General features: G+C 41.7%; 1 long non-coding RNA gene and 1 pseudogene across 2 annotated transcripts in view, besides 6 other annotated features; both read left to right on the top strand.

Annotated features, from left to right (window-relative positions):
• Nucleotides 1691-1740: a silencer, noted in NCBI's record as "silent region_14841". NCBI's record gives its function as "represses an Ori minimal core promoter by ATAC-STARR-seq in GM12878 lymphoblastoid cells {active_cell/tissue: GM12878}" and the evidence as "EXISTENCE:reporter gene assay evidence [ECO:0000049][PMID:35858748]".
• Nucleotides 4387-5586: an enhancer, noted in NCBI's record as "BRD4-independent group 4 enhancer chr3:156534749-156535948 (GRCh37/hg19 assembly coordinates)". NCBI's record gives its function as "activates an origin of replication core promoter dependent on BRD2, P300/CBP, MED14 and CDK7 cofactors, and independent of BRD4, by STARR-seq in HCT116 cells {active_cell/tissue: HCT116}" and the evidence as "EXISTENCE:reporter gene assay evidence [ECO:0000049][PMID:35650434]".
• Nucleotides 4387-5680: a biological region, named in NCBI's record as "BRD4-independent group 4 enhancer GRCh37_chr3:156534749-156535948".
• Nucleotides 5471-5680: a silencer, noted in NCBI's record as "silent region_14840". NCBI's record gives its function as "represses an Ori minimal core promoter by ATAC-STARR-seq in GM12878 lymphoblastoid cells {active_cell/tissue: GM12878}" and the evidence as "EXISTENCE:reporter gene assay evidence [ECO:0000049][PMID:35858748]".
• Nucleotides 5484-19304, top strand: part of LINC00886 (long intergenic non-protein coding RNA 886) — a 69720-nt gene continuing 55899 nt past the window's right edge. Inside the window, exon 1 of the long non-coding RNA NR_038387.1 lies at nt 5484-5659. This is a non-coding gene — a long non-coding RNA (long intergenic non-protein coding RNA 886). The remainder of the gene's footprint in view (nt 5660-19304) is intronic.
• Nucleotides 5701-6030: a silencer, noted in NCBI's record as "silent region_14839". NCBI's record gives its function as "represses an Ori minimal core promoter by ATAC-STARR-seq in GM12878 lymphoblastoid cells {active_cell/tissue: GM12878}" and the evidence as "EXISTENCE:reporter gene assay evidence [ECO:0000049][PMID:35858748]".
• Nucleotides 9712-10006: an enhancer, noted in NCBI's record as "tiled region #2365; HepG2 Activating DNase matched - State 5:Enh, and K562 Activating DNase unmatched - State 5:Enh". NCBI's record gives its function as "activates a minimal TATA promoter and a strong SV40 promoter by Sharpr-MPRA in HepG2 and K562 cells {active_cell/tissue: HepG2 | K562}" and the evidence as "EXISTENCE:reporter gene assay evidence [ECO:0000049][PMID:27701403]".
• PA2G4P4 (proliferation-associated 2G4 pseudogene 4) lies at nt 10525-13275 on the top strand (annotated as a pseudogene). The gene has a single exon (NR_003284.1). The product of NR_003284.1 is annotated as a proliferation-associated 2G4 pseudogene 4 (transcript).

The following is a 19304-nucleotide window of genomic DNA, read 5'->3' as shown; positions in this document are numbered from 1 at the left end:
AATACACCAATTGGCACTCTGTATCTAGCTCAAGGTTTGTAAATACACCAATCAGCACCCTGTGTCTAGCTCAGGGTTTGTGAATGCACCAATTGACACTCTGTAACTAGCTACTCTGGTGGGGCCTTGGAGAACCTTTATGTCTAGCTAAGGGATTGTAAATACACCAATCAGCACTCTGTATCTAGCTCAAGGTTTGTAAACACACCAATCAGCACCCTGTGTCTAGTTCAGGGTTTGTGAATGCACCAATGGACATTCTGTACCTAGCTACTCTGGTGGGGCCTTGGAGAACCTTTGTGTGACACTCTGTATCTAGCTAATCTGGTGGGGAGGTGGAGAACCTTTGTGTCTAGCTCAGGGATTGTAAACACACCAATCAGCACCCTGTCAAAACAGACCACTCGGCTCTACCAATCAGCAGGATATGGGTGGGGCCAGATAAGAGAATAAAAGCAGGCTGCCCCAGCCAGCAGTGGCAACCAGCTCGGGTCCCCTTCCACACTGTGGAAGCTCTGTTCTTTCGCTCTCTGCAATAAATCTTGCTACTGCTCACTCTTTGGGTCCACACTGCCTTTATGAGCTGTAACACTCCCAGCGAAGGTCTGCAGCTTCACTCCTGAAGCCAGCGAGACCACGAGCCCACCGGGAGGAACAAACAACTCCAGAGGTGCTGCCTTAAGAGCTGTAACACTCCCCGCGAAGGTCTGCAGCTTCACTCCTGAGCCAGCGAGACCACGAACCCACCAGAAGGAAGAAACTCCGAACACATCTGAACATCAGAAGGAACAAACTCTGGACACACCGCCTTTAAGAACTGTAACACTCACCGCAAGGGTCCACAGTTTCATTCTTGAAGTCAATGAGATCAAGAACCCACCAATTCCGGGCACACAAGATTGCTTTTTTTTTTTTTTTTTGAGACAGAGTCTTGCTCTGTCACCCAGGCTGGAGTGCAATGGCATGATCTCGGCTCGCTGCAACCTCCACCTCCCAGGTTCAAGGGATTCTCCTGCCTCAGCCTCCCCAGTAGCTTGGACTACAGGTGCCTGCCACCATGCCCGGCTAATTTTTGTATTTTTAGTAGAGACGGGGTTTCACCATGTTGCCCAGGCTGGTCTCAAACTACTCACTTCAGGTGATCCAACCGGCTCGGCCTCCCAAAGTGCTGGGATTACAGGTGTAAGCCACCGCACTAGGCCCAAGATTGCTAATTTTAAAGTGAGCTTAAAACTGTACAAAGGGAGCATGGCAAAATTACAGTTAGCCCCAACTTTATTTTCATCCTGCAAACCAGAACCCAGTACAACTCTATCCCCTCAAAAATGGAAATTAAATACTTGCAAACAGGCCTCCCAGGTTGGAAGCAACCACAGCTTTCACTAATATTTCTGGGTTCCATCCAACACAAGTGCACAAAAGAAAAAAACCTAACATTTTTGAAAAGCTAGTACTTATTGGGCTCTTTCTATTTGCCAGGCACTTCATACACAATGTCTCATCCAACTGAGAACCCTTCCAAACATAAGTCAGATCCTGCTTATGGTCTATTTTCACACAAATAATGGAAATGGCTGAGGGCATGGCCTAATGTGAGTACAGAAGTGTACTTGGACCAAATATAAGAGGAAGCACTTGGGCCTCACATACAGTGTTAGTTGACTTTGCCAGCCAGCCAGTACCCAGGGGACATCAGCCTATAGTGGATTAGTAACATGTAAATATCCAAAAAGTATTTAATTCTGTAAACCTAACTTTGTCTCACACTTACTGTCTTCATGACTTTTCTGAAGTCACTTCCAGTTTTCAAAAATGGTCAGCTACAAGGGACCACTTGCTTTGTTTTACTTACCCCAACACATTTTGTTCCCACCAAGATGTGGATTGGATTTTCTTTCTTAATAACATTTCATGTTTGTTAAAACTGCTATTAACATTATTAACATTTAAAGTTTTAAACTGCTTTAAATAGCTGCTTTGCATATTTTGAACCACAAATAACTCTAGTCTGGAGGTGGTTTAGACCACAAAATACTATTTGTGGGTTTAAGCTCTGTATCTTTTTAAATCCATTATATGTACAGTGTAAACTTGAGTACCTAATAAAATAAATGTCACAATGTTTAAATAGCATTTCTCTTTAGTTCAAATGCTTTGTCATCTGTGCAGGAATAAATTGTGTGCTGAATTCTTTTTAGCCCTGAGAATATGATTATTGAACAAAATTTCCAGTGAGACAAGTCAGGCCTTTAAATGATAAATATCCTCAAATATTAACAGTTAGTCAACCACTACAGCGAAACCTTTGATTATTATAAATGTATTTCCTGTGGCAAGTTCACCACTGATAAGAGCTTTTTATCCGAAACTGTACTATGTGCCAAATACAACTTAGTATTTATTACATGAATATATTTTTAAAAACAAAAAGAATAGGCCAGGCACAGTGGCTCGTGCCTGTAATCCCAGCTACTCCGGAGGCTGAGGCAGGAGAATCACTTGAACCTGGAGGCGGAGATTGGCAGTGAGCCGAGTTTGCACCACTGTACTCCAGCCTGGGCAACAGAGTGAGACTCTGTCTCAATTAAAAAAAAAAAAAAAGAATAAAGCTCTAATGGCATTAACTTAACACTCTTGTAATGAATTTGATGCTAAAAATGTGGTACTGATAGCTCTTATTCTGTAATGTAAATTAACCAAGTTCCTTTTATTAAACTCAGCATCCAATAAATGGCCCATAATAAGCACTTAATAAATGCTAATAAGTTCAAAGACTGAAAATTGGTAACTGCCTTATGCACTTAAAAACAACTTTTGTAGTTTATTATTTGCTTGTTTAGTGAAATTATTGCTTCATTTCTGAGATTTTCATAGGATTCTAATGAAGAATCTAAGATTCCAACTCACATTTGTTTTGATAAGCGATTGGTAAAAGTGATTTCATTCTCCCTTTGTAAAGATGAAGTTAATGTTTCTATACCTATTATTTTAAGTAGCTACTGAATTTACAGGAAACAAAGTATAAAAATTTTTCTGTCATTTTGTTCTACCTCCATTGATAGTGTTTTTAATGCCATTAAATGAGTTCCAAATCATCTTAAAGATATTTTCTTAGGGACTACTGATATCAAATATCAAGCATTTTATGAGATCTATCAACCACATGAAAAATATTAAAATAAGTATAGTAGCCCTGGTTTGCAATGATGTAGAGCAATTAGCAATCTTAAACACTGCTGTTGGGGTGAAAAATTAGAACATTTATTATGTTTTAAACCCCTTAAAATGTTCAAAACTATTACAGTTGACACATGATCCTCCTTCTTCCTTTTGTTCAGGAATTCAGACCTCTGTACTGCCCTCCCCCTGTCCTACCCCCAAGCATGCATGAATCAGCCCAAGTCCAGAAGTGAGTTCAGATTAGATCAATTCTGTTAGCACCTTCCCCTTTACCAGTGATTAAATCAGGAATGCGTCTATGATCCAATTATGACTAGAAGTTCCAAGAGACGTTTGCTGGAAGCTTTAGGAAAATTCTTTCTTATTAGCACATATATTCAGTGTTCACCACAGTCTTATAATGTTTTAAAACAGGAAATACTAAAATGTGAAATACATTGATTTACTCGAACAACAGTGTGCAGCTGTTAGAAATGATGATGTGGTTCTTTGCTGATGTGGTTGAATGTCCCAATAGATTGTTCTGTGACAAAAAGCAAGTTAAAAATTGTGTTATAACTACAAAAAAAAAAAACCGTAATATTCTAAACAGCATTCTAAATGTATATTTTATTATTTCTATAAATACATATCTCTTCTCATAGAATCAGAAGAGGTAAACAATCAAGTTTCAGGAAAGCAGGAGCCAGTATTGCTTTGAGAACCTCAGATATGCAATGTGGAATTTGCAAAAGCCATAAAAAGGCTCAGCCCTTAGAATCTACCACTTAATGAAAGTTGGTTCCATTTTCTTTTATTGTTGGCAGTCTCTGCACATGGCAGAGCAGTGGTGGCTGACGGTCCAATTTTGTCACCAAAAGGAACTGGGGAGAAGGCATCTATGCCCACCCTCCTGTTAGAAAATTGCCAGGAAATGACTTTCTTTGGCACAACTTGGATGATATGCAATCTCTTTAACCAAATTACTAAGGCCAGGAGGAGTCAAGTGCTGTTTGTCATTGGCTTACCTTGAGTCAGGTATATGCCTCTCGACCAAGTGTGGGGACCAAGTAGGCAAGGCCACACACAATGACACCTCCCTTTCTAACTACATTCTAGAAGAGTAAAGGCAGAAGCACAATCCAGGCAGGAAGGGTAGGCAGTTCTGTCCCAGAAGAAATTAAGCGTGCTGGGCAGACCAGGAAAAAAAAAAAAAATCCCACGTGAGAATCAGTCAGCTGGTAGAACATTTTAAAATTAAACAGTGAATCTTGCTGCCTTTTCCCACATATGGTAAGCTGAGATGAGAATATGTATTTTTGAGAAAGCTTCCTAGGAGTTTATTGTGTCTATTCTAACCCTAGAGAATCCCCCCTTTCCTATAATGTTACATGTATCACAAAAACAAATGTGTGTGTAACTAGGCACTATAGGCCTAAGAGTCATAATAGGGAAATAAGAGAGCATAGATTCACCAAATCAAAGTTTAAGTACATAGAAAATAAACTAATGTGGAATTTCCCAAGCTTTCAGTTGACTGGGGTGCTCTTGTGTTAAAAACTATCGTGGTAACATTTTTTGTTTTGTCCTCTAAACTTGATTTATCTGCAAATCTACAAACATTTTAATTATGTAAATAGATATCTGTGCGGGCAAAACACTTTTTGCTCACATGATCTTGAGAAGGAACTTAGATTCTGGTGTCTTAAAACGTGGCACCTTTTTTATGTCCTTGGGGCTTTTGAGTCACCATATAAATGAGGTCTCTCATGTTCGTATGCCAGGGAGATCAACCACCTCTGATTTTAAAATAAAACACTGCAAAGAAAGCTTCCGGGAGGAATGAGAGCATGCCCCAAATCACGACTCTGTAATTAGTCTTTGTGCAGAGCGGACAGAAATTTCGTCCCAAAGCCACCGTCCTTGCTCTGGTTCCTTTCTCTGTAAGCATGTCACACGAACCACACTCCTGCGCCATGCATCGCAATTTAAAGCTTTCCTTGTAAAGTTTCCCCAGCTTGATTGCTTATGGAAAGAGCAGCTCCGGTTCCCAATTCGTTTAATACATCCTGTCCGAGCGCGTTTTATTACCGAATGTTACCCACGTTGTGATAACAAGGGGACGCTGTGTCCTCCCCCGGTGAACTCACTCCCTGTCCCAGAAATATAGCGTGACTGCCCTCCCCGGCGGTGTTTTGAAAGTAGAAGCCGGGCGCCGCCCTCCAGCACCTGCACCTCCCGCCCGGCGACGGCCGCCTGAAGCACGAAGTGCGTGCGACCGCAGCCCGGCAGGTCACGCAACCCCAGGCCGCCGCGCCGCCTGCGTGCCTGCAGCCCGCCGGCCCCGCCCCCGCTGCCTGCTTCCGCCGCTTTAGTGCACGCTCGGGCTTCCTGGTGCGCCCGGAGCCTGCCTCGCGTGCCGACCCCGCCGCGTAATCCGGCGAGGCATCCCAGATTCCGCCCGGCTCCAGACGCCCTCCACCGACTTTAGTTCGAGCAGGTGACGCCCTCATTTTAACGCCGAAAAGTGTCAGTTCCCGATATACAACAAACACCTCAGGCTGCGAAACGTGGGATAAGGGGACAGCGGGCTGAGAGTCGACCTCGCCCCTGGGCCCCTCTCGGCCTCCTTGGCGCCTGCTCCCTGCCCGCTCCGTCGGGCGGCCCTGTGCGGGCGGAGAGAGCAGCAAGGCGGCCTCCCGCACTGCCTGGATTTCGAGGGCGGGGGCGGGCGCGGGGGCAGCCCGGCCAGGGCTAGGAGACCCGGGAAGGGGTCGCCAGCGAGTGGCCTTCGCGGAGCTGCCTCACCCCGCCTGCCTGGAGCCGGGAGCCCGGCGTGCACTGACGCCTGGGGCACGCTGGGGGCGACTTTCGTGGCCGGGCGGCTGACCCCGGCGACCCGGCGCAGTGTCCAGAAGTGCGCTGGGGGGTAATGAAGGGCAGCGCTCGCTGAGGCTGAAAGGAGCGAGGGCCGGCGCTGTGTAGGTTAGATTCTTTGTTGACGTCTGGGAGCCGTCTTTTGAAGAATGAGAACGGGGCCGTTATTGCAAGTAGGATGGGCTTCATCGTGGGCCTCGAAGGATCAGGGGTGGGCGCGCCGGCTGCCAGGGCCCCTCTCACGCCACGCCGCGTGCAGGCGAGGGGAAGCGCGTGTCGTGACGACCTGCGATGAGATCAGTTTGAGTAACCACAGCCGTCGGGGCTGAGAAATGCAGCCAGTCACGCAGCGCAGCGCAGCTCAGCGCTGGCTCTGGCCGGGTGGCCGCAGCCGCTCCGCGCTTCGCAGAGGGAGGTGGGGGTGGATCAGCCCCTTCCAGGTGGTCGCCGGTGGGGGCGTCAGAACTATTCTAAGAGGGTGGGGAGCCAGAGAAGAAAACCATACAAAATGCAACTTGCATGATTAGGAGGCTGAATTCTATGAGCAAATGGGTTTTCAAGAAGCACACTGAAAATAACCTCTGTAAATGGTTGTCTCTTACACTTTGCCCAGTAGATAACTGTTTAAAAACTACTCTAACACGGAATTCAAAGGTCATTCAAATGTGCCTTCAATTTGTTTATATTACTTAGTTTAACAGGCAGTACACACGGCTCACATATGCGTGCATGAAATTTAATTTATACAGTCAAGTCTGGAAGCATGGTTTGGCAAGAGGAATAATTGTGAATTCAGTTAAAGTCAGGGTACAAACAGCCAGATTACTTAAAAGGACAGATGAACTGAAAAAAAAATCAGTCCATGAGGAAGCTGTTACATTCATCTTTTCATGGTCTTGAACATCTTATACCAACTCAACAATAATACCCAGCGGAAACTTCTAATTAGACACAGAAAACGCAAGTATTAGCTGTGTGGGCAAGCATCAAAAAGCCTCATGTTAGAGACAGACACATGAATAACATCTATAACGTAACAGCGTATATCTTTTTTTTTTTTTTTTGAGACGGAGTCTTGCTCTGTCACCCAGCCTGGAGTGCAGTGGTGCGATCTCGGCTCACTGCAAGCTCCGCCTCCAGGGTTCATGCCATTCTCCTGCCTCAGTCTCCCCAGCAGCTGGAACTACAGGCGCACGCCGCCACGCCCGGCTTTTTTTTTTTTTTTTTTTTGTATTTTTACTAGAGACGGGGTTTCTCGATGGCCAGGATGGTCTCGATCTCCTGACCTCGTGATCCGCCCGCCTCCGCCTCCCAAAGTGCTGGGATTACAGGCGTGAGCCACTGCGCCTGGCCGTAAGAGCATATATCTTTAAAATTCTGTATTTCAGTCATTTCCTTAGTATACATTTGGCTCACTGATAGGTATGTTAGTTACTATAAAACAATTAGGATTAATCACCAGGTACAGAAAAATCTCTGTTGTGAATTTAAAATTTTTATCAGATTTTTTTTTTCTCTTGAGACAAGTCTGTTTGGTTGATCAGGCTGGAGTGCTGTGGGGTGGTCAGGGCTCATGGCGGCCTCTATCTCCCAGGCTCAGGCGATCCTCCCACCTCAGCCTTTCCAGTAGGTGGGACCAGAGGTGCGCCACCACGCCGCGCTAATTTTTTATTTTTTGTAGAGATAAGGGCTCCCTATGTTGCCTGGGCTGGTCTCAAACTCCTGGGCTCAAGCGATCCTCCCACCTGGGACTCCCAAAGTGCTGGGATTACAGGCATGAGCCACCATGCCCAGACCAGAATTATTTTATTTTACTTTATTTATTTATTTTACAAATCGTAATGTTCATATAATGTGAGTTCAGTAGGAAATAAGGAGTTGATCCTTAGTGCCTAGCAAACTGCATCAAATTAATATTATGAATGAAGAAAGGAATGAATTAATGTATAGGCAGTACTCTAATGGTTAGACCTGTGAACTGAAGTGTCATGAGGGAGTAGTGCCAGCCCTGCCACTGACTCATGTGTGATCTTGGTATGGTAGAAATAATGCTTACAACATACCTACCTTGGCAGAGGTATGAAGGGAGCTATTCCTTACTTACTGCAGGTGCTTCGAGATCCTTGGAGGAGGATGATATGTTCAACTATTATAAAATAATACACCACTGTTAGGACAACCCACATGTAAAATTACAAAAGTATAGATTTTAAATACAGTAGTGCCACCAATTTTTTTCATTTGTATGTAGTCCATCAAGTACTGAAATACAGTGTAGGAGGCTGCACACCTTTATATAAAATATTTGGCTTATAGAATATTTGTCATTGGACCAATATTTCATGATGTGCAATGGAAGTTTAATCAGTACTACTATACTTAACTAATAATATGCATATTTAATTAATAATGATATAATAGTGTTTAGTAATATGTATAATACTATAATAATAGTATTAATATACTATTATATACTTAAATACTATTACAGTAGTATTTGTGGTGATGGTATTTTCTGAGTGCGGAGACCTCTGGTGTATGAAGTGCGTAGGAGAAAACAAACTTTTGGTGACTTTTCTAAACTTGATGCGTGGAATCTTGAAGATAAGGGACCTTCTTGGTATAATTGTCTATTCCCGAGTGAATGAAAGTCTAGCGATATAATCAATATATTAAGAGCTCCACTGTGTATCGGACATTGGTCTAGGCATTGGAGATAGAACAGATAACAGACAAAACTGATTACTTAATGTTTAAATGTTTTTGGTCTCTATTTAATGCACATTACTTTAGGAATAGTAATGCACTGTGCACATCTTTGCGTAAACCCTTTCCTGTTCTAAGCTCTTGGTAGAGGGTCCTTAAGAGGGTTTGGAAAAGTAATGACAGAGGGGCTTTCTGGAAAGGGAGTTGAAGGCAGAACAGTGGTAGGCAGTTTTAACTGGAATCAGAAGGCAGATACCAGTCCTTCATCAAAGTCTCCTGTTAAGAAAATCATAAGACAAAAGCATACAATACTTTGCTTCCCATCATTCTCCCCACTAAAGTTGGCCTCATGTTTCTTAATTCTCTCTGCCATCATATTAAGTCTATGTGTATAAGTTTTACCAGAGTCATAGGCACTCGTGCAGTTTGCTGACTGCATGGTGGTGCCTGGTGGAGGAGGTAGGTAGGCATAAAACTCCAGACCTAGCTTCATCTGCCAACACAGGTGTTTTGCATCCTCCCGAGATAGGGGCATCTTGAATAAAAGCACCATGGGGCCACAGTAGCTCTCTTTTTCTTCAGAGTTCTCAGGCATCTAACCCCTACCTGCCCTTTGGCATGTATTTTCTTGTTGTATTTAATAGCATTGCTCTGCTATGAGTTGCAAGACAGGGAACATTGGGGGATGAGGAGAAGCCAAGGCTGAAGAAGTGAACCAAGCCCTATCAGCTTCCAAGATGTCTAATATCTAGATAAATGAAGACTAGCTAAGGCATAATGATACTGTGTGAAATGTTTTGCAGCAAAAAGAAAGCAAAGCAATGATAGACAACAACCTGTCTTTTCAATTTTAGCAAACAGGAAGAATTGTCAGCTCACAACTGATTGCCTCAGTCTTGCATTGCAACTGGAGAACATGATACAGTCAGACAGCGTGGCTCAACCTTTTGGCCGAGCTCATTTGTAGGATTTGATATCAGATGATTCGATATAGGATATATGTCCTGCTGAACCCTGGGGATGACCTTGAGATTAAAGTGTTTTCCCTTCCCTGTTGCTAACTTCTCTGTGGTCTGTTGACATTACGTCATGTTGCAAACAATGAGTGGTAGAGACTGGAGACTGCTGTGTCAGGGTGTAGTGACCTGATTAGTCCAAACTCCTGCAGGGGAGACGTGCAAATAGATGAGCCCCAACAGGACCTGAAGAACCATGTGGTTTTGAAATTCTGGGTGGATGGGCCACACCCTGCATACACCTTAAATCTCCTGGCACTTTGAAGGTACAATTATTGCTCAACAACTCCAGGTTAATTAGATCTTTGTATGATGTGATTATCATAAATGTAACCTTTTAAATGTAACTTTTAAAAATGTACAAATGTGTGCATAATATAAATGATAAAACAAACTTGCAGTTAATATCTTATAAGGGCATAAAAATGATCCAACTGGATTAACACCTTTTAAAATATAGTTTATTCCTAGCAATAGTTAAACAGTTCATTTTGTAGCTTAACATAAAGGCCTAAAGAAAATGAAACATATGAAGGAATCTTATTACTCTGCACTATGCAGTTTGTCATTTCACTTAAGTAAAGATTCCTATGAGATTTTTAAATTAATGATTATTTACAAAAGGCTTTTGAGAGTGTTGCTTTTACTTTTATGTGGTTTCAAGGTGGGGAGACAGATTAAAGATGTTAAGTAAAATATTCCATAAATACTGTATCTACCAAAAATAAGAGAATTAAAGCATTTGTGGAACTTTACTCATAGAAGATACTTGGTAAATATAGTTTATTACTCTAAATTAATATAATTCCCCACCTGAAACAATAAATGTAGCATGCAATATATTGTTCCCTGTTTGAGGACAGATACTGCTGCTTATTGATATTTGCATTGCTCATACTACCCAATAAGTGATGATGGTTGAATGAATCAATTAATGAATGAGCATGAGAGAAAAGCCATAAGAACTAACCTCCCATTCTAATCCCTAGGCCCTCCCTGTTTCTCTTACTGAATGCCTTTCCAGATTATTGATGCTTTGCATGAGCAATAAGGAAAAAGGAAGCAATCCAGATGGGAGCGTAGCTGTGGTCAGATGTCTCTGAAATGAACAAAGTATTTGCAGATGTTTCAACAAGTGGAGGGGTTGGGCTGAGTCTAGGTCACAGGAAACAACTTCCACACGTTGGGGCTACTACAATAAAGGTATCATCACTTACCAGCACAGGATTCTGTTGGAAACTTGAAAAGGCACTCAGGGTTGGAATGCTACATGAATCCAGACTTGTCTCAGGAATGCCACAAGTGATCAGAACTAAGTATAGAAATTAATGTGGTTTGTAAAAATAGCAATAAGGATCATGTTTATCTGGGAATCAAATCCTTTAATCACTTTAGACAGAACTAATGAAACTAGAATAAACCATCATTGATTGTGAGAGTCTCCTTCTAAATTAGTTGGCCTTTGGCTTTTAGAGAGCAAAGTTCAAATTCCAGTTCCTGTCTGACAGGAAAGTAAGTCAGACACAAAGTAGATAGTCTTTTAGACTTCAAACTGAAACAGCAGGGCATAAAGGAGATCTGAGTCTTGAAGAACCTTTGCTTTCAGAGTTGCTGAGTTCAGTATTGCTAATGCAGTATTTTTCATTGTGCCTTTTGAGGCTGTTCATTTTAGATTTATGATATTTGCCTTTGTTGGTAAATATGTTCAAATATAAATAAAAATTTTATATTTCCTAATGAAAAAATTCTAACTTCTACTCTTTTGTGCATGCCCTGTTCTGAAGCATGTTAACTTTCTAGCTGCATGGTGGATAATAGGGCCCATGTTTATAGATCCCAACTGTAAAGATAATAAGACACAAAGGCATCTTAAAAAGTGATCTGAGCAGCTTCTCGTTCTCGCCTGCCTGCCCGCTCGCTCCCTTGCTTGCTCGCGCTTTCCCTCACCCTCTCCTCGAGGATGGAGGGGACTCTGACCACAGCCTGTGACTGGGAAGGGAGACAGAGGCAGCGGCGGCTCAGGGGAAACGAGATTGCAGTGGTGGTAGTAGGAAGATGTCGGGCAAGGATGAGCAGCAGGAGCAAACTATCGCTGAGGACCTGGTCGTGACCAAGTATAAGATGGAGGGTGACATCGCCAACAGGGGTACTTCGGTCCTTGGTGGAAGCATCTAGCTCAGGTGTGTCGGTACTGAGCCTGTGTGAGAAAGGTGATGCCGTGATTATGGAAGAAACAGGGAAAATCTTCAAGAAAGAAAAGGAAATGAAGAAAGGTATTGCTTTTCCCACCAGCATTTCAGTAAATAACTGTGTATGTCACTTCTCCCCTTTGAAGAGCAACCAGGATTATATTCTCAAGGAAGGTGACTTGGTAAAAATTGAACTTGGGGTCCATGTGGATGGCTTCATCGCTAATGTAGCTCATACTTTTGTGGTTGATGTAGCTCAGGGGACCAAGTAACAGGGAGGAAGGCAGATGTTATTAAGGCAGCTCACCTTTGTGCTGAAGCTGCCCTACGCCTGGTCAAACCTGGAAATCAGAACACACAAGTGACACAAGCCTGGAACAAAGTTGCCCACTCATTTAACTGCACGCCAGTAGAAGGTATGCTGTCACACCAGTTGAAGCAGCATGTCATTGATGGAGAAAAAACCATTATCCAGAATCCCACAGACCAGCAGAAGAAGGACCATGAAAAAGCTGAATTTGACATACATAAAGTGTATGCTGTGGATGTTCTTGTCAGCTCAGGAGAGGGCAAGCCCAAGGATGCAGGACAGAGAACCACTATTTACAAACAAGACCCTTCTAAACAGTATGGACTGAAAATGAAAACTTCACGTGCCTTCTTCAGTGAGGTGGAAACGCGTTTTGATGCCATGCCGTTTACTTTAAGAGCATTTGAAGATGAGAAGAAGGCTCAGATGGGTGTGGTGGAGTGCGCCAAACATGAACTGCTGCAACCATTTAATGTTCTCTATGAGAAGGAGGGTGAATTTGTTGCCCAGTTTAAATTTACAGTTCTGCTCATGCCCAGTGGCCCCATGCGGATAACCAGTGGTCCCTTCGAGCCTGACCTCTGCAAGTCTGAGATGGAGGTCCAGGATGCAGAGCTAAAGGCCCTCCTCCAGAGTTCTACAAGTCGAAAAACCCAGAAAAAGAAAACAAAGAAGGCCTCCAAGACTGCAGAGAATGTCGCCAGTGGGGAAACATTAGAAGAAAATGAAGCTGGGGACAGGTGGGTCCCATCTCCCCAGCTTGCTGCTCCTGCCTCATCCCCTTCCCACCACACCCCGGACTCTGTGAAGCGCAGTTCTTCTTCTCCACCTAGGACCGCCAGCAGAGCAGGGGTCTCCCTGCCCCCACCCCAGTTCCCCAACCCACTCCCTTCCAACAACAACCAGCTCCAACTGACTCTGGTCTTGGGAGGCGAGGCTTCCCAACCACAGAAGACTACTTTAAATGAAAAAAAGAAATTGAATAATAAAGTCAAGAGTCAAAAAAAAAAAAAGTGATCTGGACTAGACTAGGCAAATTACTAGCTTTGTGCTCTGATACATTACCATTTGAATCCCTTTTCTAATCTCTGATATGGTAACAATTGGAAAATGGATTTGCTTTTTGGATCAATGGGCAAGAAAAGGATTATTTTCTAAAGTAATTACCTGAATGTTTGGCAACATTGAATATAAATTTTCCCTAAAAACCCTAAACTTTTGAAGTGAAAAGACCATAGAGCAGCATACCTATGGACACGTTACTCATAGAGACTAGCTTTTTATCTCCCCAAAATGAAAGGTTTTTTTTTAAGTTTTAAGAAATGAAAGAAAATGCTAACACTATCACTAAAATTGACCAGCATATTCGGGGGATAGCAAAAAAAATAGTTAACTCTAACATTATTGGAGAAGTATACATATGTTGCTTTTCTACTTGAATTGCCCTTTCTGAATATTGGAATTCAATATACAAAAGTTAAATGTCAATGTTGGCAGTAAATCCTTTTGTCTTTTTTAAAAAACTAGAAAAATCGCAGAGGTGTATCAGACTCTCTGAGTTTCTCTAACTATTATAAAATCATATCATTACAGCCATGAAGAAATTTAGATGTCATGAAGATCAAATTCCTCATTTTATAGATGAAGAAACAAATTCAGACAGGATAATTAATTTATTTTTAAAATACTATTATTATTATTGCCAGTACTATGCAAGGCACTAGTATTAGTCTGAGGATTCAGCAGTGAACAGGACAGATGTGGTCTCTTGCCCTGAATCACCACAAAGTTAATGGAGGAGCTGGAACCGGAAATGAGCCTCTAGATTTCAAACTAAAAGACTTCCATTAATCAACTACTGACTCTATACCAGACCCTAAGTGTTTCACCTAACATTAAGTCTTATAACCTTCACTAATTTAGAATAAGGTGGAACATGCCTTCCCACTCCCGATGTCTCTCCTGTGTGTAGGGAGCTCTTTTACCATAATAATCTTGGCTCCTCTTTGTTGCCTCATTTACTTTACCCAAGGGGAGAGTGACTTATCTGAGTTAGGAAAGAGTAACAGCATGAGTAATCCAGCCCCTTCCCTTCTCTTTTTTTTGGGTGTTGGGGGACTGAGCTGTCTGAAGGGAATGTTTGTTCGGGTTTGCTCTTCCAGGCCCTAAGGAGAACAGGAGCAGAAGGAGTCCTCTTCAGATCTTGTGATTGGGTAGGCAAGTCTCCTACTGGGGTTTAAAATTAGGAAGCCCACTTTCCCACAGGTATCAGTTCTCTCATCAATAAAATCTCAATGTGTGTTTGTGCAAGAGAGAAGCATTTCATAAAAATAAAACTAAGCAACTGGTACTATCATATTTGAACCACCTAAAACCAGCCATGTTCTATCCAGTATGTATGTGTGTGCCTCACATTCTGACCTCATCTGTCACAGCACCCAAGAAATGATGTCTTAAAATGATATTAATATAACCTTCTAAACTGCTTTGGTGCAATTTCCATAATTTCTAAAACGGTGAAGGTCAGCTGTCAGGCTTCCTGGGGGATAAAGTAGTGAAGTGAAAAGAACATGAGATTTATAGAATCAAACCTAGATTTGACTCTACTCTGAATACATCTCTATAATTCTGAACCTCTGTTTTTACCTCTAAATAACAACATGGATTGCCTCACTGAGCTAACATGGTTAAGGCCCAAAGAAGATAATAGATGCGTGAGTGCCTTATAAACTATAAAGGACTTTGAAAATGTTAGCTGTTTTACAGGTTTAAAGGGCAATCCTGTAATAATAGTTCTCATATTTACTATAGATTTTAAGCTTCACTTTATACACAGATGGTTGAAGAGTTAGGCAGTTGATTGCTGCCTTGATGGTTTATTTAAACCATCATTTAAACCATTATTTAAAGGCTGAGAATCACTTTACCAACTGAGCTCTCCCGCCTTCCAACCTGTGTTACTTAATTTAAAACATAAAAGCTCCTCTTCCATTGCTGTCTACATTTCTACCATTAGTCTTTTGCATTAAGCAGTCCATTTCCCAGTGACCTCCTTTGAGTTCTGAGCAGGTTTGTAAAATATTTTCCTACTAGGAAGAAGCAGCAGTACACTTAAGAATTGGAGTAGAGTTGGGGGAAGATAAAAAGAGAAGTTGGCAGCAGGTAAAGGGCACAGAAAAGTCTGGGCTATGGGTCTCAACCAAAAGTACTGATAAGGAAATGGAGGAAGGATTAGAAGGTATCCAGGAGCAAGGGAACATCTTTTCAAAGTGGCACCTTTTTCATAAATTGTTTTAAGTCTTGCTCCCTCTGATGAATCTGCAATATTTCAACCTGAGAGTCAGGAGAAATGGATTCCAGTCCTGCCTTTGACCATCCAGCTGTGTGACCTTGGATATGTAACTTGGCCTCTCTGAGTCTCAGTTTCCTTATCTATAAAATGAAATCTTTGGACAAATGTTTTCTAAAGCCATTTCAGCCACAAATATTCTATAATTCTAGCAAAGATCCCATGATCTTTCATTCCCCTTTTAACATTTAAGTCTTATCTTCCCCTAGGGGAGAAAAATTATCTTAGAAATGTCTGAAGAAGTAGTAGGAGGAGGAGGAGGAGGAGGAAGTGGGAGAGGAGGAGGAGGAGGAGTAGTGTGCACGTGTGTGTGTAGACAACAATGGTTATAACAAAGTTGTAACAGAACATCATAGGCCAGAGAGAAGCATTTCATAAAAGTAAACAAGCAATTGTACACTATCATATTTGAACCATTTCTGCTTAGAAGTAAAAAACTCTCCCCAAAAGTTTTCCCAATTATAGTTGTATTTTGACATGTTCTCAGTTCAGTTAAAATACTGTTGAACCCTCCAAATCATACTTGAATTATGATAGAATACATACCAGCATTTAAAGCAGGCCACCACTCTAAAAGCATATAGGCTTCTTGACAATTGCTTTAAATCATAAGGAAATAAATGAATAAAATATGTGCTGTTGCACATATTTTAATCCTCAAATCAATACATTTTTCTCCTTAGTGTGGAGGACTGATTCTCTGTTGTGCATGGCGGTAATTCTGTTCACTGCATAAGTAGGTTCAAACAACAGAAATAACAGAAAGAGGTCAACCACATATTTTGGAGTTCTTGGAGTGGAATTTTTTTTAATAAACACCAAAGCTACTAGAAAGCTTATGAGAGCATGCAAAAGACATGGGTATGCCTTTGGTTCTAACAGATTTCCATGATAATACTGAATCAGTGGATCTCCTCTCCAAATGTTTCATTCTTAATACCTTTTTTCACTTAATATATCTTGAAGGTCATTCCATTTAGTACAATTATTGTTTACATTTTTATAGATGTACCATAATTTAATCAGTTCCCTGTTGATCAAAATTTAGGGATTTTTTTGGCCAACATTTTGTTAGTAAAACATTACTGCAATGAATAATTTTGACATACATCATTTTACGAGTGTGCAATTATATCTGAAGGATAAATTTCTAGAGTTGGAATTACCTGGTCAAGGGTGTGTACATTCGTAGTTTTGGTAGAATAGCTGGAGATTCATGTATTGCCATTTTCCCTCCCCACTCCCTAGCAGTTGAGAATTGTTGCAGTATAATGACAGATATTACTGACAATGGGAGAGTATGTTCCACATGTGAATCGTGTGGAGGCAGAAAAAATAGAATCACTGGCCCCCCGACGGCTTTTAGTTAGTATTTTTTATTCATCAAAGAGAGAATCTGCTTGACCAGGCTCGTCATGTCAAGCCCAGCCTCCTCAGGGTCTCCCAAAGTCACTAGCCCAGGCTTATTACCAACTTTGGTTATTACCACCTCAACTAAAGTCCAGTGTGGTGGCTCAGGGTCACCATGAGCCTAGAGCTGCCTCTCTAACAGGGGCTGTTGACTGAACAGGGTCTTATTGGAAGGAGCCTTGGACAGTCAAACATTTGGATTATCATATCTATAAGGGCAAATATAATCCCAGTTTTCCCAGGACAGTCCCCATTATGTGTGTGGCCTGATTACTAATAGCGCTCCCTTTCATATTCATAAGTTTCCAGTTTGGACTATAATTTACTAATATTGCATAAGGTGGGTCAGTTCACACTGTGTTGTAAGGAGCCCTGGAGGTTTGTAAAGGTGCCTAGGGAGAGACATTTAGAGGGGAAAAAGAAGCCAAGCAGGTGGGATTTGGGACACATTGTTACTGTCTAATGTGACTAAGAGAAGTTTAAGCTTATAATAAATGAACAGATTTCCACCTATTAGGAATTAGATGGTTCTTAAACCTTTTAAGTCAGATTAGTTGTTTTCTTTCTACTGATTATACACAATACACACACACACACACACTCACACACACTCTCTCTCTCTATTGGGCATTGTTTTCCTACCAAAATAGAGAATTGAAAATCTATTGAGGTAGTAATCCCTTGACCTCAGCAGATATAATATCCACACTTACCACATATTTGACAATTTAGATGGGGCTAGATCTTGAACTAATGGACCACACATGGCTTTTAGCAAGAGCTTCCCTGGCAGCACTTTCACCTTATACAGTCAGACTAGAGTCTGGTCTAGGTGAGAGAATGGGCAAGAATGACATTTTGAGTTCAGTTCAGAGATGCTTTATTTTATTTACTTCCAAGGCTGCATGTAAGCAGTACAAAGGATAGACATGAGGTAAGGCAGATGCAGCTGTCCATTGCCTCCTTTGTTTTCCAGAGACATCATAAATTTGATGGTCTTGGCAACTGGAGAGAATGAGATGTCTTGGAGGTCAGGGGAGCCCAGAAGTGTGGGCTTACTATCTTTCATACCTCCAGCCACATTAGCAACCAGAAACAACTTATGCTACCATATGAGGCAAAAAGGTTACCCAGCAAGCTGTTTCATTCAGGCTAATGTTCAGATTCCAGATCTTGAAAATGCTTGCTGTGCCTAGCCTGGTGCAATCTCTCCTTATCTACACCTGGGCAGCAGGGTGTAGTTTTCCACTAATTTTGCAGGCAGGCCTGCCCTTGGTCTACCACAAACATATTTAGCCTTTAAGTTCTCAAACAAACACTTGGCCTTTCGAATTAACATGGGCTAAAGGACATCTGTGTTGATTCTGATTGTCTAACTCCTAGTGCCAGGCTTTCCATTTTGCTAATCACTTTGCCTCATCTCTTGCTGATTACTCCTGATTGCAAAAGCCTGGCTCTTCAATTGCTTCCTGATTCTCTTTGTCCTTCAAAACTGTTTCTTCTGTGAAATAATTCATCCCTTACACACATGCAACTGTCATCATTTTCTCTTCACTTAAAATGTTTATTCTCTCCACTTTTGTTTCCATCATAGGCATATGCATCCTCTTCAAACAGTCTTCATAACTCTTCAAACATCCTTAAGCCTTTGTACTTTCTGGACACAATGGAGTTAAGAGTGTTCATAAAGTACCCCAAGATCTATACACAATCATAGCAAACAGGATCAATGACTAAAATGACCACCAACAAATGGTAATGTCATTAGCCTATGCTGAGCAGGACAGATGAACTTTTCCTCTGAAGCATAGTTTTGTGGATACATAAGGAAGTCCATTAATTTAAGCTTCTTAAAAAGAGAGGAGCATTTTTTTTTCTCCGTTTAACCTCTTTCTTCCCTTTCTCGATTTTTCAACTAAAGATGGCTTCAGATCATTTGTGGATTCCAAAGAAACTATTAATGGCTTGGATGACAGGGAAAAAATAAGTAGAATGGAATGAAATTGAAGATGACCTGCTATTTACATAATGAGGAATTAATGTAAATAAAAACACTTTTGTTTTAAACCACTAAAATATCAGGGTCACTTGTTATTGCAGCATAATTTAGCTTGACCTGACTGCTAATCCACCCATTAATTCCAGAAAGCAAAGGGAAAACAGCAATAGGGATGTTTGAGAGGAGAAAAAAAGTCAAAGAGATTGTGACAGCATGAGAGAGGAGATTTAGCTGCCAATTAGACATCAAGAAAGCCTCCAAAGTATATAATACAGGCTCTGATAGGAAG

This window comes from Homo sapiens, chromosome 3 (assembly GCF_000001405.40).
Source record: "Homo sapiens chromosome 3, GRCh38.p14 Primary Assembly".
Taxonomy (NCBI): Eukaryota; Metazoa; Chordata; class Mammalia; order Primates; family Hominidae; genus Homo; species Homo sapiens.
This window is presented reverse-complemented; position numbering and strand designations above follow the sequence as displayed.